The sequence below is a fragment of the Homo sapiens genome, chromosome X (assembly GCF_000001405.40).
Source record: "Homo sapiens chromosome X, GRCh38.p14 Primary Assembly".
NCBI classification, from domain to species: Eukaryota; Metazoa; Chordata; class Mammalia; order Primates; family Hominidae; genus Homo; species Homo sapiens.
Genome location: NC_000023.11, coordinates 40,065,235 through 40,086,297, shown reverse-complemented (window position 1 = coordinate 40,086,297; position 21,063 = coordinate 40,065,235). Strand labels below are relative to the sequence as shown.

Genomic DNA, 21,063 nt, shown 5'->3' with positions numbered 1-21,063 from the left:
GCTTTCTGGAAATTGCAGAGGCTCTGAAGGCCGTTGTTCCCCTCTGAAATGGCCCTGTTATTCAGACAAGTTAGAGACAGGCGGGTGCTGTGTTCTGTGCACTCGACACTGTTTCCAGCTTGGAAATGCAAGTGTGCAGGTTCAGTACCCTAAGGGGGGTGTATTTTGGGGGGAAGGGAGGACAGATTGGCTTTTGATTACCCACATCCCTTAACCTTTTCTTCCAAGCCTTCCCGTTTTCAAGAGCACATTTGCCTTCAACTGCAGCACGCAAAGGTGCCGTCCTGAAGCCTGCCCACAGCACCACCTACTCTGACTTCATCAACTAGATGCCCACAGCAACAGGCTTTCTTTGAGTTCCTGGTACCCCGCCAGGCCCTGCAGAGAGGCGCCAGGGTGGGAGGGAGAGCAGTTGGTGGTGGCAGTTACCCACTAGGCCAGTCCTGGAGGTTCATGGCTGGCCCAAGCAGGTGGACTTAGGATGGCCAAGAATGTGGACCTGCCTCTGGACCGTCCTGGGGCAAGCTGGGTGTAAAAATTCACTCCTCTCCCCCATGAGTCCCAAGGTTGAAGCCTTCCAAGCCCTGGCACCTGCCTGGTCCTCCTTGGGTTTTGGAAGATCATTTAGGGCTGACTTTGGTCTCTGGGTGTACAGCCTACAGGATATCTGCAAATCTACTTCATTCTCTCCTGTCCCCCCCACCCTCAGCACCTCCCCTCCCTAAGTCTACTCTCTAAGTTTTAACATGGACTTCTACATCTAGTTGGGTTTCCGATGGGGAGCTGGGAGATGCTTCTGGAGTGAGACATGAACTTCGGTGCCAGTTCTATAAATTGGTCTCTTTTTATGACGTGTGCCATTTTCTGTAGGAATGTTGCTTGCAAAACGAGTTTCGCCTTGGAGGAAAGGCGGAAAGATAAACAAGCCTGCAACGCCAAAACACTGGCAGTCTTTCCCTCCTTCCAGCTCTCTTAAAGCAGCCGGGCTGTATTTCCAGGATTAGACTTGTGCATGTGAGGAGGGACTCGCGTTGGCTTTTTTTCCCCCAAGCAAATGCAAATTAGAGAAAAATAATTTTCTTTCAACGATATGCAATGTATTAGTCACTTGTTATCGTGCTCCGAGGCAGGCCTCATTTGCGCGTCTGCCAGCTCGCTCACATCTGCTCAGCGCTGTTCGGGGCATTTTAACCTTGGCGGTGTCGTGTCTAGTCCCATGGATCAAGGAGGAGTAATTAAGCCCTGAACAGCTACAAAAATTCGTGGGCCCCCATCTATACCATAGTTGTTCCATGGCTTTGTTTTGGGTGCTCTGAGTTCCATGACTGAGTAGCAGACATGGGATTCCTATTGTTCCTTGTAAAGAAGGTGGGTGCCCCTCTCCTTCTCTGACCCTCATCCCAGCCTTTCTGGGACTCCCAGGCTCTGCACAATCAGTGAGAGACTCGCTTGCAGATTGCAGGACCCCTGCATTTTACACATCTTTTATGCATTAAAAGTTCCTTTGTGCTTCCTGTGTATACTAATGATAGCTGTTGTTATTAGCCTTACGGTATAGCTTGTTCCCTTCGGTGGTGGTGGTGGTGGGGGGGGGTGGCGGCGACGGCGTTTGTGTTTTACTCCTACAAAGCCCTGGTGGAAACAAAAGTGCATTGACACAGCCTTTGGAGGCATGGTGTGGAACATTTATTCTGGATTTGCCCCCAGGTTGTGTAGATTCCCAAGTGGGGACCCAGTTCTGCAGGGACTAGATCAAAGGGGGCAAGTGGTTTCTTTTTGCGTGGAGGGAAGATAGTAAGGAGGGATTCCTGGCTTTTGACTTGGGTTTCTGTTGCCGGGTGGCCTCCTGTGAAGGGACACCTGTTTCTAAATTTGCCCTCTCTTGAATACACACGTGGTTTCCTGACTCCCCGTGTGGCAAAACCATGAAGGAAAGTGAAAAGAACAAAAAGCCGGTGGGGTGGCCTGGACAGATTATCCGGGGAGACGGGCAAGTGTCCCCCGTTGGCCTGTGAGAGAGAGGTTGGGGGCACCTGACCCCGGGCCATGGGCTCTGCCTGGAGGAGGGGAGTGTAGCGGACAATCCAGGTTCGGCAGCGACCCTCAGGGTCAACCCCTGCAGATTCCACCCCGGACCCCAACGCCCGAGATTCGCACCCCTCCCACGTTACAGTAGGCGACGCTTGGCTCACATCTTTGTAAGGGGAAGCGTCCAGAGGAGCAGCGCTCTAGTATGATCGGAAGGGAACCCAGAACGATGGCGAGGAGGGGTCTGCCGTGCCCATTCCCCGGGTGGGCTCGGCGGCGTTTCCCGGGAGGTCTCGGATTCTCCCTGCGCCCACCCAAAGTTTCTTTTCGTCAGATTCGTTGATGGGGAGAGAAGGTGCGGCGGGGCCTCGGGAAGGGGCACCATGGAGAGCGTGCCAGGCCGCAGGGTCCGAGGGGTTACCTAGGGTCGGGAACTGGGAAGGTCGGGCCGCCTCCGGGGAGGCTGCTGGAGTTCCTGGAAGGCCTGGCGGGGGCGCGCCGCGAGGGCGTGAGTGTGTGCCGTGGTGCGGCCCCGCGCGCTGGGACCTCCGCCGAGGAGCGGGGAGGAGGAGCGGGCGAGCCCCGAGCAGCACGGGTGTGTGTGGTGGGAGAGAAAATCCCTTTGTTGCCGACCGATCGCGCTCCGGGCTGAAGCGCCTCAGCCCGGGGAGGGGGCGCCCCTCCCCCTTTCTTCTTCGCCGGGGCCAAGTTCACTCCCAGCCCAGGTGGCTCTCCGCTCAGACCCCGACGCCCCGGGAGGAGGCCGGGAAGGTTCTGGGTGCTGGAATGGTCTGGGCCGGCGAGTTTCCCCTTCCCCCTCCCCCTTACTAATGCAAAACTTGGAGGTGTGGGCGGGGACGCCCGTGCTGGCTACGGCTAAGGCTGTGGCTTGGAGTGTGCCAAGAGGCAGCACCTGGGCCGGCTGGATCACTTCCCTCACCCCCAACTCTCTCGGGGGAGGGGGTCGGGAGGGGTGGGACCGGGCCAGCCACCTCCCTCGACCACACCCCTGGAAGCCTGCGGTTTTGCCTCCCAGGGACCTGGGGGGCAGCCTTGGGGTATCTTACTCTCCAGCAGACCCGGAGGACCCATCCCACACTGCACATCCGGAAGAGCTTTTTCTTCTCATCTCCCACTCCCACACACCCCACCCCCACCCCTCACATCCTAAAATAGGAACTTCTTCACCCCTCCCTTCCTTGACACCCGGAGCACAGCGCTGCTGCTGTGACGCAGTCTCTGTTTGGAGCAACCCCAGGAAGGGCTGGCGGGTGGTGAGCTTTGGGCTTCTGTAAAATCTACACAGTTCTGCTGAAGTTCCCTCCCTGCTCTGATCCCCTCTCTGTTGCTGCCTCAGCCTCCCCCGCAGGATGAGGTGGTAGTGCCCCAAAGAAACTGTGTTGTGATTCTGGGGCTTATTACACAGTGTGTTTATTGGAGTCGGGTACTATTTAGCGGGGTTAAACGTGGCCAGCGCCAGCTATTGCCAGGCAAAACTCAAGTCCATAGTGCAGCTTAATCCTTTGGAAAACACAGTGCCAAATATTTACAGAGGGGACCAAGGTTGGAGAGGTTCAGCCACCTGCCCAGAGACACGCGGTGAGTGAGGGTGGGAGCCGGGAGGCTGTGGTGACCATGTTCTCCACAGAGAACCAGCCATGCAGTAGCGAGACCCCTCCCCTGAAGAGTCCTCTGCCAGAGGACCCCAGCACACTGGCTGGGAATGCCTGCCTGGCCACCTGAGCTGGAAGCCCTTGCGAACCTCTCCAGTTCTTCTGGCTGTTAACTGCTGGATAGCTGCCGGTGGGGGCAAGGGGAACCTAGTGAGAGAGATCCCAAGAAAAGACCCCGAGATGGGCCACCCTCAATGCCTGTGTGGACAGCAGGGAGGCGTGAGCAGAGTTAGTTTGGTGGCCATGCTTTCCAAATTGTCAGTGCCACTTGACAAGTGTAATGTGCAGACTTTTAACTGATCGGCGCCTCAAGGGTGGGGGCAGTGGAAAGTGGCCCTAGTGCAAGAGGGGGCCAGGGTTGGGGGTGGGGAAGGAAAGGGGCCAAGGCTTGGGACCTGTGGTCTGCCCTCACATCTTTTCACAGAGGGTGGGTGTGTCCCTACTCAGGGATGCCAAGGTTGGAGTGATGGCTTATGATCTTGGTCCCTCGACGCCCCCCTTCTGCCAATCAGGCCTTCTCCCCCGTGTCCGGGCCAAGCTCAGGTGCTCTCATCATAACCCTTGGCTGAAGAGCGAATGACTACTCAGAGTCTGTCCAGGGTGACCCAAGCTCTCCTATGTGTTCCACTTCCTTGGTGCTAAGAGCTGGAGACCATGCAGTATGCAGTGTGCACGCCTGCTTCTCACAAGCCAGGTCTCTCCACTTGGCCCTGGGTGTTCCTGCAGGCAGCTGGAACAGTTCCCAGTCTGTTCTTTAGAGACCCACACCCTCCCCATCTGACCTCTTCTCAGCTGTCTTTCCTCTCCATCCCTATCCAGCACCTTTACCCACTTCTCTCCACTACTAGAAAAAGGGGTTAAACCCCAGATCCAAGGTGCAGCTTCGCAGCTCACAGTGGAACAGGTTGGTGCTTGTAAAGTGCTTTTCATGAGTGACTTCACACATCTTGGCACTTCTGGAAGCATAGCCTGCATTTGGAAGAAGTGGGGGGTGGAGGTGGGCATTGAAAAATAAAAGCAAACGAGCTTCATCTATAGCTGCAAAGCACCCTGAGGCTCTGTTTGTCATTGAAATCAGGTCATTTGCCCTCTCCACAGTGTTCCGCTGCCAAGGGTCAGCAACATCAGTTTCGAAGCACTTGGCCTTAGAGGTAAAAAAGTCCCCAGCTATTTCAACAGCAGCTTCTAGAAGTTTGATGTCCCTATACTTTGCCTCCCAGTCTCTTTTTGTTTCTTACCCCAGTGTCCCCTTCGTTGTACATGACAGAGAAACCAGGGTGGGCTGTAGGTAATGGTGACCCCTGTTCTTCAGTAGAGGCTTGGTGTGAGCCGTATGGCCTTTGCAAAGGAGGTCCCTGCTTTTGTAGGTTTGGACTGCTCTTTGTCACCCAGGAGGAGGGCCTCCTGTGAGCCAGGGCCATTGCTCATTGGCCCTTTCCACTCCTCTCCATCTTTGGCCAGGAACCCGAAGAGTTAAAAGTCTTTAGCTTGTTGCAATGAAATTATGGCTGGCAGTGGCGCCGCTGTTTGTTCAACAGACCTCCACTTTTAAACAGTTCACAAAAAGTTCATGGGGCAGCTAAAGATTATAAGTGTGTGTGTGTGTGCGCGTGTGTGTGTGCGCGTGTGCGTGCGTGCACGTGTGTGCGTAAGTCCACAGCAGGATCCAACAATGTGTTCCCCCCTTTTGCTTTTATGTTCAGCCCCATCCTCCACCCCTTCCCTCCCAAAACACACACACACACACACACACACACACACACACACACACACACACACACGACAGTGAACCGCTCTGCTAGCCTCAACCCTCCATCTGACCCTGTGCATTTGAGAACACTTTGTTCTGGTGGCTGGTATCATTTATCTGTGCGCCATTAATATGGAAAGCCCCAAAGGAGGAGCCCTGGAGAAGGGGAGATGCTTTGAAAGCACCCAGTAGGCCCAGGTGCCTGTAAACCGCAGTCACCTTTCTGCTAAGTCCAGGTGGACTTTGCTGAAGAAAGGCTCTTTGAAGGGAAGCAGCTGCTGGCCTTTTCGGGGCTGGGCCTCAGTATAATGATTCTGTTTCCCAAGAAGGTGCCGGGAGGTCCTTTGCACAAGGTGTCTACTTAAGGGAGGTGGGTAAGAGGCAGGTTTTTTGTTTGTTTGTTTGTTTTTTGAGTTTTGCTCTTGTTGCCCAGGCTGGAGTGCAATGGTGCGATCTCGGCTCACCGCAACCTCCACCTCCCAGGTTCCAGCGATTCTCCTGCCTCAGCCTCCCGAGTAGCTGGGATTGCAGGCACGCACCACCACGCCCAGCTAATTTTGTATTTTTAGTAGAGACGGGGTTTCTCCTTGTTGGTCAGGCTGGTCTCAAACTCCCGACTTCAGGTGATCCACCCACCTCGGCCTCCCAAAGTTCTGGGATTACAGGCGTGAGCCATCATGCCCGGCCAGAGGCAGCTTTTTTAAAGGGGAGGCCAATTTTTAAGAATGGGGACACCAGAAGATTGAGGTTCATTAGGCACACGCTTCTTCCCTCATCCTTTTCTTGGGGGTTTGGTTGAGTGACCCTTTGGCTCATGATGTAATTTCTGTATTTCATCATGGCACAGTGAGGGGGTGGCATGGTGCAGTCCCACTGCTGCAGCCCGATGACCGGGACACACTGGCACCGGGGAATGATGTTCCACCTTCTCTATTATCCTACCCAGAATGTCTTCCTTTTGTTAGAAAGGGCAGCAGGGGCCGGAGAGGGGACACTGCCACTGCACAAGGGAATGTGCCTTGTGGTCTGCCCAGCCCTAGTGGTGGCCTTCCCCACTTGATTTGTGTATTTGCAAGATGGAAGAAAAGCCCACGAACCCTTATAGAACCTTCCCCAACAGCCGAGTCGGTCCTTTGGGGGCGCTGTGGCTAGTCAACTGGAAGAGCCGCTGTCTGGAGACACTTCCTAGGGAAATAGCTTTCCAGAACCCCATCATGCCTGATGCCTCTGCAGATTTCTGCCTTTTTCTTGGGCCCTTTACCTCTCTTCCAGCCTCATTGTTGAGCTCTAACTGTACGTGGTGTGTCGCTGCATGTGGATTTTGGTTAACAGACGTTGTTCTATGGGGATGGGGGCCCATGGGGGATGCTGGTGGACAAAAGACCTAGTTAGGACAAAGAAATGAGAAAGTACAGACCGGCTTTGGGATTCCATCCCCCAGGTGTCCCCTTAACTCCCACCCTCAGTCACTCTCACAGAAGAGTCCCCGGACCTGGTGCCTCCAACCCAACCGACCTGGCAGTCTGCTCCGTGTGCTAAAGTGTAAAAGCAAGCATTTGCATATTTTTTCCTGCTAACAAAGGAAATGTGTCGACTTAGGGAACATTTGGGCTTTCGGAAACTGTGTGGGTGGGTGTGTGAGGGAGGAGAAAAAAGTTCCCCTGATGATCTGCACACCAATTATTTCACACCCAGGTTTGGGTCCCGTGGAAAAATGCCATGGCCGGTCTGGACAAGGGACACTGAGATGTGTTTGTGAGCAGGGAATTGCCGAGGGCCATCGGTCCCAGGCATTAAAGGCTCCCCTACTTATTAACCCAGCATTTAACAGCAGGATATGGGCTGAAGCGCAGTCAAAAGAAACGGCTCAACCTCCAAAGAGCAATTAAAATCCTGCACGAGGATAAATCACGCGCCGTGATAATCCTGTTAATAAAATGCAGCTTGTCCTGACCCTTCACTCATGCAGCAAACTAGAATGTGATGTGGGTGGGGGCGGTGGGCAGAGGAGGTAAAGGGGGGTGGGTGGTGGTCTGAGCTCCTCTGCCTTGGCAACCTCCCGCTCCCGGAACGTGGAAAATGGGTGGCTTCTGCCGGCTCCCCATGTGCCAGCGGCTTGGAGCCCATCAGCCAGGGCTGCTAAGACTTCTGTGCTCGCTAATGATTTCTCGTCCCCAGTGAGCAGGCGTCATTGAATTACTCAGCCGCCTCTCTCTGCAGCTTCCAGGCAAAACCACCCGGGTTAGCTGCTTAATCTAATCCAGGGCTCTGGTGGGGCGGCTCACCAGCCCACCGACTCTTTTTCACACTTGATCTGTAAGTTGCACACACGACAGCCTTGGAAATTCAGCCCTAGAAACGCAGGTAGTTTGAGAGCTGGACCTGCCGCTCACCTCACTGTGGTGCCTTCCACCCTTCTTGCACCCTTTTGGCCCCAGGAAAGATCAGTTGTGTGCCTCCCAGTGATGCAGCATCCCTGAACCTATTGTCAGAGCCTCCCCTTGTTGAATCAAGTCTTCTTTACCTTCTTTAACAAGTGGCAAGAATGAATGACCACTGTACACTTTCAGAGGAAAGGGAGTGGGCGGGTGCTGTGGTGTGCCCTGAATGTGTTCTGTGCCTTGGATGAGGCTACCTGTTTCGAATTAAACTTCTTCCCCAGCCCCAGCACCTCCTACCAGGGAAGCTGCATGCCCCTCCGCTGTCCCTTCGAGTCAGGTGTCTGTCCTTGGCTCCCAGACCACTGTAGACAGCAGGCACAGCCTGCCTTCCCCATCTGCATCCTTTATGAATCACCTAGAAAGAGGCCTTCTCTAGCGCCCTGTTTGGCTCTCCTTTACTGAACCTCCTGGGATTTTTTTTCTTTCCTTTTAACAGACTAGACGCTTGAAGCAAAGCTGCCATCCCAGAAGACGACATGCTCTCAGCAACCCCCCTGTATGGGAACGTTCACAGCTGGATGAACAGCGAGAGGGTCCGCATGTGTGGGGCGAGCGAAGACAGGTGAATGCGCCCATCTGGGCCGGGCCTGAGTGGAGCCCACGCCCATGCTGAAGCCCCCCTCAACTTCTCACAGCCACCGTGGGCCCAAAAGGGGTGGGAGAGAAAGAGCTTCCCGCCTAGTAGGCCGCTCTTGATTTACAGTTTTAACAGGCAACCTGGCTCAGTGAAGCATTGCCGCCCTTTAAAAGATTAGCCCCTAAAGCGGCCTTTCAGTGCACTTTCGTCCTTAATTTATTATTTCATATTTATGAAGGAGAATTAATCCCAGTCTATATACTGCTTTAACTCTAAATGTCAGGAGTGTGGGCCCAGGTGGAGCAGCATTCTATGTGCTTTTAAAACAAATAGTTTGCTCAGTAATAAATGGGGAGAGAGCCACCGTTTTCCTTCATTGAAGCCCAGGATCTCTCATTGTCCTCTGCTGCCTGTTCCCAGAGGCCACTGGCGCCTGCTTTTGGTCGTCAGACAGCTCTGTTATGCTTCCTAATCAGTAATTTTGGAGTTGTGGGGTGGAGGCAGCTAAGCAGTAGATGATTGAAGCTGCTCTTCGGGGTAATGAGGAAACTTTTCCTCTGCCGCTTGTCAGCGATTTTTATCCTGGGGATTTGGAAGTTGGCACCAAGCACTTTCTTTATCGATGCTCTCTGATAACAAGTCCCAGGGCAGCCGCAGCAGCCTGGCACAGATGTGCAGCTTCCTTTTCAGCCTGGAACAGCTGACATTTGTATGATACTAGTGTGTATCCCCCTGTCATTTTGACAAAGGCAGTCAAATATGGCTTTTTTATCACCATGGAAACCAGTTTCGTAGGACATGGTCCCTAACTTTGTTTTGGAAAAAGTTTTGAAAGCCTACCCTCCTGGGTAACACGGAAGTGGTTGATGACACGACCAGCCTTCCAGCCCCCTTTGGTATTTGGCTGTGTTACCACTTCATGTCTACCCTCCAGGAGAGTTTATAAGGGTTGGCTGGGACAGCCGAGCTCCGATTGGCCTACTTGGCCTCTAGAGAAAAAAATCTCGAGGGAGAAGTAGTTGTGCTTAATTTCTGGCTTACCTACCTTGGGGACATCATATTTGTGATTCATGTCCTCACACATGAAAGCTTTGCGTTTCCTTTGTTTTTCCTGGTCAAGTTGAATCACCATTTGGGGGCGACTTTCAATATGGGCCATTGACAGCTGGTGGGGGCGGAGGGTTAAGGACAGTTTTAAAAATTGGGTTAGTAGAAACTGGTCTGTTCTGGGGAGATCTGTGAAAGATGGATTCAGTGAGGAATGCTTTCATGAAGTTGGTGTATCTTTTTAAATAGGAAAATCCTTGTAAATGATGGTGACGCTTCAAAAGCCAGACTGGAACTGAGGGAAGAGAATCCCTTGAACCACAACGTGGTAAGAGATTAATAGCTTCTGTTGATGCCATATCTGCATATCAGTGATCTGTAATCAATCGTATTAATTTGCATGCCCTTAAAGGGTGGGGAATGGGGGAGGGGTGGCAGTTCAGAGCAGGGCTGAGTTGGAGGCCTCTGCGAGAGGACAAGGCCCCCACCCAAGCTCTTCCAGTCTTGCCTTCCTGCCTCGCCACACATGTCCCTGTCCCCTAGTGACTGGTGGGATGTGTACTCTCTTTTCTTCCATAAGCTGGATGCCACATCAGCGCTCCCAGCTGGATAAATTTCCAGCCTCCAAGTAGCCCCTTAGGGTTTACCTTTCCAGTAAAATACGAAACACAGGACTGTCACTTCAGACACAAGGGAGAGGAAGTCAAAAGACACAACCACAGTTTGACCCATGGCCTCTATATTGATATAGAAATGAGGCTGCTAAAGTCCTCTGTTCCTGTTGTCCCATCGAAGATCGTTTCTTGTTCTGTTAAGTCATGCCTTCCTGCACCCAGGGGAAATGAAGCGAACACCCACCCCCAAGCCTGACAGGCCCAGGGAGGGTTAGTGTGAATTCTGTACCCCATGAGGGTGATGCTGAGAGTTTTGGAGTTGGTGTCCTAGTTGTAGCAAAGAATTTTTGCTGAGAAGGTAAAAATCTTCAGACTTTTTTATTTTTATTTTTTAATTTTAATTTTTTTAGAGACAGAGTCTCGCTGTGTCGCCCGGCCTGGAGTGCAGTGGCGCAGTCTTGGCTCACCGCAACCTCCACCTCCCGGGTTCAAGCAATTCTCTTGCCTCAGTCTCCCGAGTAGCTGGGACTACAGGTGCACACCGCCACACCTGGCTAATTTTTTTGTATTTTAGTAGAGATGGGGTTTCACCATGTTGCCCAGGCTGGTCTTGAACTCCTGAGCTCAGGCAATCTGCCCGCCTTGGCCTCCCAAAGTGGTAGGATTACAGGCGTGAGCCACCGCGCCTGGCCAAAATCTTCAGACTTAATAGATGACTGAATTAATATATGGGCCTCAAGTCCAAAGGGACCAATGTTTTCCCTGCTTCCAGGATACTAGTTGAGAGGTGAGAAGGCAGGCAGCAAAGGGGTTTGGATAAGGGGGTGGGGAAACAGACCCCCCACCCCCGCCCCGCCGGAAGCCTGTCTTTAACCCTTTGTGCTTGGATGTTAAGGCTGATGGCATGTTGAACTAGTTGGCAGTGTCTTTGGGTGCTGCTGCCTTGAAGGAGTATCCCAGTAACACCCATGTTGTTCTTCTGCAAAGGTGGATGCGAGCACGGCCCATAGGATCGATGGCCTGGCAGCACTGAGCATGGACCGCACTGGCCTGATCCGGGAAGGGCTGCGGGTCCCGGGAAACATCGTCTATTCTAGCTTGTGTGGACTGGGCTCAGAGAAAGGTCGGGAGGCTGCCACAAGCACTCTAGGTGGCCTTGGGTTTTCTTCGGAAAGAAATCCAGAGATGCAGTTCAAACCGAATACACCCGAGACAGTGGAGGCTTCTGCCGTCTCTGGAAAACCCCCAAATGGCTTCAGTGCTATATACAAAACACCGCCTGGAATACAAAAAAGTGCTGTAGCCACAGCAGAAGCGCTGGGCTTGGACAGGCCTGCCAGCGACAAACAGAGCCCTCTCAACATCAATGGTGCTAGTTATCTGCGGCTGCCCTGGGTCAATCCTTACATGGAGGGTGCCACGCCAGCCATCTACCCTTTCCTCGACTCGCCAAATAAGTATTCACTGAACATGTACAAGGCCTTGCTACCTCAGCAGTCCTACAGCTTGGCCCAGCCGCTGTATTCTCCAGTCTGCACCAATGGGGAGCGCTTTCTCTACCTGCCGCCACCTCACTACGTCGGTCCCCACATCCCATCGTCCTTGGCATCACCCATGAGGCTCTCGACACCTTCGGCCTCCCCAGCCATCCCGCCTCTCGTCCATTGCGCAGACAAAAGCCTCCCGTGGAAGATGGGCGTCAGCCCTGGGAATCCTGTTGATTCCCACGCCTATCCTCACATCCAGAACAGTAAGCAGCCCAGGGTTCCCTCTGCCAAGGCGGTCACCAGTGGCCTGCCGGGGGACACAGCTCTCCTGTTGCCCCCCTCGCCTCGGCCGTCACCCCGAGTCCACCTTCCCACCCAGCCTGCTGCAGACACCTACTCGGAGTTCCACAAGCACTATGCCAGGATCTCCACCTCTCCTTCAGTTGCCCTGTCAAAGCCATACATGACAGTTAGCAGCGAGTTCCCCGCGGCCAGGCTCTCCAATGGCAAGTATCCCAAGGCTCCGGAAGGGGGCGAAGGTGCCCAGCCAGTGCCCGGGCATGCCCGGAAGACAGCGGTTCAAGACAGAAAAGATGGCAGCTCACCTCCTCTGTTGGAGAAGCAGACCGTTACCAAAGACGTCACAGATAAGCCACTAGACTTGTCTTCTAAAGTGGTGGATGTAGATGCTTCCAAAGCTGACCACATGAAAAAGATGGCTCCCACGGTCCTGGTTCACAGCAGGGCTGGAAGTGGCTTAGTGCTCTCCGGAAGTGAGATTCCGAAAGAAACACTATCTCCTCCAGGAAATGGTTGTGCTATCTATAGATCTGAAATCATCAGCACTGCTCCCTCATCCTGGGTGGTGCCCGGGCCAAGTCCTAACGAAGAGAACAATGGCAAAAGCATGTCGCTGAAAAACAAGGCATTGGACTGGGCGATACCACAGCAGCGGAGTTCATCATGCCCGCGCATGGGCGGCACCGATGCTGTCATCACTAACGTTTCAGGGTCAGTGTCGAGTGCAGGCCGCCCAGCCTCCGCATCACCCGCCCCCAATGCCAATGCAGATGGCACCAAAACCAGCAGGAGCTCTGTAGAAACCACACCATCCGTTATTCAGCACGTGGGCCAGCCCCCGGCCACTCCTGCCAAGCACAGTAGCAGCACCAGCAGCAAGGGCGCCAAAGCCAGCAACCCAGAACCGAGTTTCAAAGCAAACGAGAACGGCCTTCCACCAAGCTCTATATTTCTGTCTCCAAATGAGGCATTCAGGTCCCCACCAATTCCCTACCCCAGGAGTTACCTCCCTTACCCAGCCCCTGAGGGCATTGCTGTAAGTCCCCTCTCCTTACATGGCAAAGGACCTGTCTACCCTCACCCAGTTTTGTTACCCAATGGCAGTCTGTTTCCTGGGCACCTTGCCCCAAAGCCTGGGCTGCCCTATGGGCTTCCCACCGGCCGTCCAGAGTTTGTGACCTACCAAGATGCCCTGGGGTTGGGCATGGTGCATCCCATGTTGATACCACACACGCCCATAGAGATTACTAAAGAGGAGAAACCAGAGAGGAGATCCCGGTCCCATGAGAGAGCCCGTTACGAGGACCCAACCCTCCGGAATCGGTTTTCCGAGATTTTGGAAACTAGCAGCACCAAGTTACATCCAGATGTCCCCACCGACAAGAACCTAAAGCCGAACCCCAACTGGAATCAAGGGAAGACTGTTGTCAAAAGCGACAAGCTTGTCTACGTAGACCTTCTCCGAGAAGAACCAGATGCTAAAACTGACACAAACGTGTCCAAACCCAGCTTTGCAGCAGAGAGTGTTGGCCAGAGCGCTGAGCCCCCCAAGCCCTCAGTTGAGCCGGCCCTGCAGCAGCACCGTGATTTCATCGCCCTGAGAGAGGAGTTGGGGCGCATCAGTGACTTCCACGAAACTTATACTTTCAAACAGCCAGTCTTCACCGTAAGCAAGGACAGTGTTCTGGCAGGTACCAACAAAGAGAACCTAGGGTTGCCAGTCTCGACTCCATTCCTGGAGCCACCTCTGGGGAGCGATGGCCCTGCTGTAACTTTTGGTAAAACCCAAGAGGATCCCAAACCATTTTGTGTGGGCAGTGCCCCACCAAGTGTGGATGTGACCCCCACCTATACCAAAGATGGAGCTGATGAGGCTGAATCAAATGATGGCAAAGTTCTGAAACCGAAGCCATCTAAGCTGGCAAAGAGAATCGCCAACTCAGCGGGTTACGTGGGTGACCGATTCAAATGTGTCACTACCGAACTGTATGCAGATTCCAGTCAGCTCAGCCGGGAGCAACGGGCATTGCAGGTGAGCCCCCCCACCTGAATTTCAGTTACTTTACCAGTTGTCAGTTTTTTAATGTGTAAACAGGATTGGGGGAGTATGGTAGGGCAGGGCACCAGGCAGATTTGGTGAATGAAGCTTGTGGTAATTTGAATATATGCAATGTGGCCAGTAAGAGAACGTGAGTGGTAGCACTGAGGCGTGTCTGGATGCTTTAAGTTATTCTGTAGATTATAAGGGAACTCCACTCAATTGCTGATAACCGATGTTTTAATTATTGTGAAGGGTATCTAAAGACTGCATGACGTTTACCTATCAATTGCTTTGATTTCTCTGCCTGTAAGATAGCAAATATACCTAGAAGTGCTGCTTAGAATGCCTTACTTGATACCTGGTAGAGATGTGTAGCAGCCGCATGTCTGTGGGATTCATGCAAATTTTTCACCAAAAAGAAAGGAAAAAAAAAAGAAAAAAGGTTGCTTAAAGGGATAGAGTATGTATTTAACTTGCTAGTGAATTATGATAGATGTTGTATAGGAATTTCCTTAAGATATTTTACTTTTAATTAAAAGATGAATAAAGCCAAATTGTTTTGCAATGTTAAGAAAAAAATTGGTTTATGCTTATAAAAATGGATGAAGTTATCTAAATGATCCATTGAGTGCCCATTTTAATTACATAGATGGAAGGATTACAAGAGGACAGTATTTTATGTCTACCCGCTGCTTACTGTGAGGTCAGTTCTTCAAATTTTTATTACTAGAATCTTACATAAACCTTTTGAGTTAAATTTCATTTCCAAATATACAAAGGGAAGTTTGTGGGCCATGGTCGTCTTTATTCATTGTGTATTTTGTTTCTTTTCTGTTGTGTTTTTGTTTTGTTTTCTTTGCGTTGTGTTTTCGTTTTGTTTTATTTACCTTCAAAAGAGAATGTCTGTCTGTATGCAATAGTGTATGTGTGGATATACATACACATCGCATATATATCTATATACACATGACTTTATGAATAAAGAATGTGTGACTACTTATATATAGATACTCTTAAGTTTTATCTGTTAAACTTTAAAATATCTGAGTTACATCTCATAAGCTGTGGTTGGTTTTGGGCACTTTTCTTTGAAAATACTTTCCTTTAAGATAAGGCAAATGAAATAGCTTTTATGGTAAGGTGTTGTTTTTTTTTTTTTCCATCTCCGTTCTCTTTCTAGCGTGCAATGATGCGCTTCTCAGAGTTGGAGATGAAAGAAAGAGAAGGTGGCCACCCAGCAACCAAAGACTCCGAGATGTGCAAATTCAGCCCAGCCGACTGGGAAAGGTTGAAAGGAAATCAGGACAAAAAGCCAAAGTCGGTCACCCTGGAGGAGGCCATTGCAGAACAGAACGAAAGTGAGAGATGTAAGTAAACCTGAGCAGTTTGCTTGTGTTGGCCTCAGGTCCGGTTGGCATCTGCTTGGAGAAATGGGCTGCTTTTGCCATGCATGGAATGAAGGGCCGATTGTCCTTATGAATGGTGGCAACCAGGAACGAGGCGTCTGTGAAAGATAGTTTCCTGGGACACATCTTTTTTTCCAAAGAAGCACTGGTTCTAGAGTTGATAACAGTCTAATATAACGCAGTGTAGCAGAGGTATGGCAGTAGGAAATTAGGTGCAGGGACAGGTTATATTTTGTAGCAGTGGAATGACACTTCCCAGCCATCTCCTGCCCCACCCCTGTGGTGACAGTCTGATGTGGAATGAAGAGTCCTTATATTCTCCCTCCAAAGGCATAGATGTTGTTGAAGTAGGATGAACATGGTGAAGTCACCATAAAGATGAGCGTTACGATTTACCGTGGGGGGTGGGGGAGAATTGGCCACAGAATCCCAAGGCAGCCTGGCATGCATGAGGGGGCTCTTCCCACCGGACAGAGGGCAGCTTGCATTTTGGAGGGCAAGTGATGTGAAGAGAAGGCTAGTATCTTCCTCAGTACACTCCCTTTGGTCCTTACAGCAGGTCCCCCACCCCACCAACAGGGTTGACTTTGGGATTTGCTCACGAGTCTTCTAGGGTGCTAAGATGTGTTGGCAGCAAGTGGAGGTCTTCCTCTTTATTTCTTAAATATGCAAGCTTGAAGCTTTAGGTCTGCTTGCAACATGAGAAACCTCACTGGGCGAAGGGGAATTAGGGTGTCTGGGTGAACTAACTGGAGGAGTAGGTGCAAAGTCCTCCTGACACAGGACACTTGGAAGTGTTGGGTATGTTTGAGAGCTCCCCACCATGGGCCGTCGGAGGTTTGACATTCACAACACAGTTCATCGGTGCCTGACAGAGTTTGGGAAGAATGTGTGATCAGGGAGAGTGTGCTTCTTGATACTCGGAGCGCACACCCCTCCCTCCACTTCCAGCTCATCCCTGGGAGCAGACTAAGGCCACCTGCCAGGATCCTGGGTAAGCTAAACCAGGACTGATTTGTTGTAAGTCATTGCTGAAGAAAGTAGTTTCTGCTGCTAATAGGTGGTGGCCTTACTCAAGTGGCAGGGACTCAATGTACCTGAAGTTGCTCACTCTTCCTCAAAGAGTGGCTACAGGGCAGTGGGAGGTCCAAGCCACTCTTGGGTGAAGTGGCAAAGAAAGCCTTCCTCCTCCCTGATGATTGCTGCCAACTCGCAGCCCCCACTCTGAGTTGCCTCAACACCAGCTCTTGGGAAGGTTGTCAGAGGGACCTGGGAGAAGTGGGCAAGGCCGAGTTGATGGGGAAGGTGCTTCTAAAAGAGGGAGTGCCATACATAAGAATCCCTCTTTGTTCTGAGTAGATGGCTGGGGGCCTGGAGGAAGGGACAGGAACTTAGCCAGCTTCCAGCCTTCTTGCCCTTGCTGTGGTTTTTGAGTAACATGGCCAGACCCTCCGTTCACATCTGAGTAACTCGGTGTGGCCAATGGGGAGCAGGGCCCAAGCCCCACATGATGTAGAAAGGCCTCCCTTTCCCTTTCTGTAAGTCCCTCCAAGCTTCATACCAACAGGCTGTGTTCTTGGAGCACCCAGGACAGGGCCCTGCAAGCCATAAGTCACCACGTAGTGCTCCTCAGGTAATGAGCCATGGCAGGGAGAGCAGAAGAAGAGTTGGGGGAAGGTGAAGGCTGCTTTTTAAATACTAGGGCCAAGGAAGAGCTGGGGCACCATAGGTTTGTGGTTGATCAAGAGGAGGAACCTAGAGGAAATGTTGTCCTTGCTGCTGCCACTGCCATCTCATCCAGGGTACAGCATGCGCTGGATCCGTTTGGCTTCAAATTCACTGAGCTATCTCGGCCATCACGTCTCTTCATGGGTGTCACTGTGGCCCAGAGCCAAGCTGTGAGCATATGGAAACTGGGGTGGGGATTTGGGGCAGGCAGGGGTCACAAAGAGGGTACAGGATGCCTCCCCGAAGCCTCTCCCCTCCACTCCTACAGCACCAGTAGCTTCTGAGATGGCAGGTGCCGCCTGTGCGGCCTCAGCTGCCTGCGTGTGGGTGCATCTTGTTGGGAGGGCTTGTTTAAAAAAACTGAATTAACTGGACAACACCGTGGTTAGGATTTTCATTGACTCTTAGTGATAGTATGGGTTGCTGAGTTTTTCATTTAGAAATTGAACAAATGAGTTAGGAGTGTCCCCAAACTCCTAAGGAATGATAAGTGGCATTTTGAAGATGGGGTAGGGAACACGGAGGTGTTGGGCCCTTCCTTTTTGTTTTTAGTTTTATTATTTTTATTGATTGATTTACTTTTGTTGATACATATTAGATGTGCATATTAGCCCTTCCTTCTTGAATTTGGGTGTCTGTCTCCCTTGGTAGCCACTTGGCTTGTGTGGACCTAGGACTCACTCAGTGGCAATGCCTGAGCGGGAGCTGGAGAAAGCGTTGAGTGAAAGTGAAAGGGTTTCATGGGACTTCTTGGCTCAGGAAACTTCTCTTCCAGGACAGCAGCCCCTATGTACTTTGTAAACTACTTTGAGTTTGGGCAGACAGATGACTACCAATGCCTCTGCTGCTGGAGAGGGTAGAAGTTATAACATGGTTGGCCTCTGCTAGAGGTGATGTTGCCTGCAGAGGGAGTAGATGTCATGGGCAGTCCTCAAAAATCTCAGTCCTCTGCCATCCTGTTTAGGGCTTACTGGGCGTGGTTATAACAGTGGTGAGGTTGCTTTGTTGCCACGGTGACTTGTAAATGTTGCCATGGCGATGCTTCCAGGAGGTATTGCAATGGCATAGCCATGGTAAATTATGGGATGTATGTGCTGTGCCTTATAGGACCATGATGCAAGGAGAAAGTGGTAGACGGTGTAGGACTCAGCCATGTTCACATCTGCCTAGATCTCATGACCAAAGGCACATGGCATTCCACTCACAGAAGGGCTGTAAGTAGTTGCAATGGAAGAGGACCCTGATGGTTAGGACCCCTATCTATCCCTTCATCTCTGTCTATGCACCCATCTCCTTTGCCCTCAAGAGTAATTTCTGTGGGTACTGGTAAGAATAGCCCCATTTGAGGGAGGTCCAAGTGAAGTGTACAGGAAAGTGACCTGGAGCCTCTCCCTCATAGCTGTTTGCCATACGTATCTTCGGCAGTCAAGGTGGGTGTTCTTTGGGATTATTACTGGCCCATGGAGGGAAACCCTAGCATAAGGTTTGGGGGCCTTCACTGAGGGGAATTGGGATGTTTGCCTTGAGAGGCTCAGGGGTTGAAGGAAGGACAATAGGCCTCATTTGCGGAAAGATCTCGTTTGCGGAAAGATCTTCTTGAGAGCGGACAAGAAGCATCTACACTGCGTGTGGGCAGGCATGATTGCAGTGAACCCCAGATGCAGCAGTGGAGGGCTCCCGATAATAGTTCTGGACTATTCAGGAGGCAGAAGGGGGCCCTGTCCGGCTGAACGGGGAATGGTGGGGACTTGGAGGAGGCATGTGTGTTTCGCACCCCTTATCCTAGCCTGCTGGCTTCCCCATGAATGGGGAGCAGAAGGTGGTGTGTGCAGGGGAGCCCTCCCCACCCCCACTGGGCAGCTTTTCCTAGATGGGGAGCCCCAGAGAAGACAGATGGCAAGACCTCCCCATATCTAATGGGGGTGCTCCCTAGCAGAGAGACTAGGTCCCCAGTTAGTCACTGCCTGTTGATGCCAGTCTGTGAAATAAGTGATTACAAGTCTTCTAGGTGGTTTTCTGTGGACAAAATATACTGGCAGTTTGGGCATAAGGCCAGGTAGGTGAGATATAAACTCATTTCACTATTAGGAAGTTTGCAGTGAAGGTCAAAACTCCAATGGAAAACTTTCTCCCTGAGAAAGATGCCTTAGACTTGGTTGAGATTGTTACAAATACAGGTGGCTGTGTGAGACCTGGAGTTCAAATGGAAGCTGTGGAAGTCAAATCCAAAGCACTAGGGTTGAGAGATTCTTAATCTGATGGGGATTTGATGGGGGGGGGGGGGTGTCTCTGGGAAGGGTGCCAAGACAGGGCAGTTCGTTCTGGGTGGGGCCCCACACTGGCTAAGCTGCTGCCTCATTTTGACCCAGGAAGGCATTGTGACATTACCTAGTCACCTCTGCTTTCAAACCACTTGGCTCAAACCCTCTCTCCTACCTAAAGGGAGGGGAAATGAGTACACTTTAAAAGTATAAAAGTAACCTTGCATGTGGCGCTTCGTAACACAGTCTTTACATTTTTACATTGCACCCCCAGCCCCTCCCACAGGGCTTTCAGGGGCGGCTGATTGGCTCCAGAAAGTCAAATAGTATATAACTAGGACAATCAGTTCACATCTTAAACTTTCATAAATATCAGGGCTAAAAATCAAGCTGGTCTGGGGATCATAGCGTCCTTTTGTAAGTAATTTCTCCAGCCTTACCCTCTGCCCTGCTGCACCGTGTTTATGAAGCCCACCGGGGGAGGTGGCTTGCAGTAATAGTCCCACTTTACAACTCAAGGGGGCCAAACTGTAAAGTGGCGCTGTTACTGCCAGAGTGGTTAAGACACAGAGCAACTCGAGTCGCAGCCCACCCTCTTTGCGTCCCCAGGCCAAGCTGAGCACAGTGGTCACCACTTCTGCATAGTGTAAGTTTTGGGCAGCTTGTGTGTTTTCTCCTGTTGCTGCTGTGACATAACACCACCTTGGCCATGTTTTTGGACGCCCATCCGTTGCTGGTTGTACCTACAGAGACCTGGGGTGGTATTCCATGGTGGGGGCTTGGGTGCCGAATCCCAGTCCCAGCCATCCCTGTCCATACAGTGCACTGTCGTGAGTGAGGATGAGGAGGAACGGTTGGGGAGATTCTACCATTCCTTTGCAAGAATAGATGCAGCCCCATCTGTTCCCCCTTAGAACACCCTTGAAGAGAAGGTGAATGGGTCCTTGCACCATTGAGAGCACAGGCTAGCCAACACCCCTGTAAAGCTCACCCCCACAGCTGACTGCCGTGAACCGCTGGCAATGCCCCCGAGAGAAGCGGGTGAGCGGTGCTGGTCAGGAGTGGGAGTAATATTTGAAGTGGGTTGGGGAGAGGAAGAATGAGATCAGCGGATGAGGCGTGTGCTTATTTCATCTAGAAATTGACTTGTGTGCCTCAGCTCAGAGTTACCAAGACACCAGACTCATAACCCTGGTGATGAGAGGGATCATTTCAGCGGGCCAAGGGCTGACACCTTAACCTCGCAGTGGTCATTAAGTAGTTATCATTTATATTCATTGTGTATTAGAAAAATTGTGACCAGCAAAGCAGTTAATGAGCTATTTCTTGGGCTAGAGCAAAAATAGGAAGTGATGTTGGGCTGAGGTGATTCAAGGAAAAGCCCCAAGGCCCGTGATAGGCCGAGCACAGGGTTCCTGGAACGAGCGGTTTTGCAAGCGCTGGCCTGGCATGGGAAGGACACACCAACAATGAGGAGATGTCTGTCGATGCTTGCCTGTGACAGAGGGTGTGAAGAGGAGTGTCAGCTGGGGTGGCCAGCATCCCCAAGGGGGTCCCTTTGTGTTGGACAGGAAATGGGAACAGCCCAACCCATTGGTTTCACATCTGTGCATCCAGCAAATCGAGTTTTTTGAAGTTTTCTCTGAACTCGTGTATGTGTTAGGAAACCTTGCCTTTGGCTTTGCCACGCCCCTCTTCCCAGCAGCCTGG

At 51.7% G+C, this 21,063-nt stretch overlaps 1 protein-coding gene across 47 annotated transcripts in view, besides 2 other annotated features; it reads left to right on the top strand.

The window, feature by feature from the left end:
• The window catches only part of BCOR (BCL6 corepressor), a 126,032-nt gene that overhangs the window by 90,980 nt on the left and 13,989 nt on the right, over positions 1 to 21,063 (top strand). For 25 of the 47 annotated variants that reach the window (XM_047442213.1, XM_011543931.3, XM_011543930.2 and 22 more), the window contains exons 2-6: positions 8,329 to 8,454; positions 9,766 to 9,844; positions 11,118 to 13,949; positions 14,608 to 14,661; positions 15,139 to 15,325. In XM_047442213.1, coding sequence (XP_047298169.1) covers positions 8,369 to 8,454; positions 9,766 to 9,844; positions 11,118 to 13,949; positions 14,608 to 14,661; positions 15,139 to 15,325 — 3,238 coding nt within the window. In that variant the 5' untranslated portion in view covers positions 8,329 to 8,368. The remainder of the gene's footprint in view (positions 1 to 8,328; positions 8,455 to 9,765; positions 9,845 to 11,117; positions 13,950 to 14,607; positions 14,662 to 15,138; positions 15,326 to 21,063) is intronic. The other 22 variants (XM_047442223.1, XM_047442205.1, XM_047442219.1 and 19 more) reach the window with 1 other exon arrangement.
• Positions 2,437 to 2,506: a silencer, noted in NCBI's record as "silent region_20741". NCBI's record gives its function as "represses an Ori minimal core promoter by ATAC-STARR-seq in GM12878 lymphoblastoid cells {active_cell/tissue: GM12878}" and the evidence as "EXISTENCE:reporter gene assay evidence [ECO:0000049][PMID:35858748]".
• Positions 11,358 to 12,557: an enhancer, noted in NCBI's record as "MED14-independent group 3 enhancer chrX:39932994-39934193 (GRCh37/hg19 assembly coordinates)". NCBI's record gives its function as "activates an origin of replication core promoter dependent on BRD2, BRD4, P300/CBP and CDK7 cofactors, and independent of MED14, by STARR-seq in HCT116 cells {active_cell/tissue: HCT116}" and the evidence as "EXISTENCE:reporter gene assay evidence [ECO:0000049][PMID:35650434]".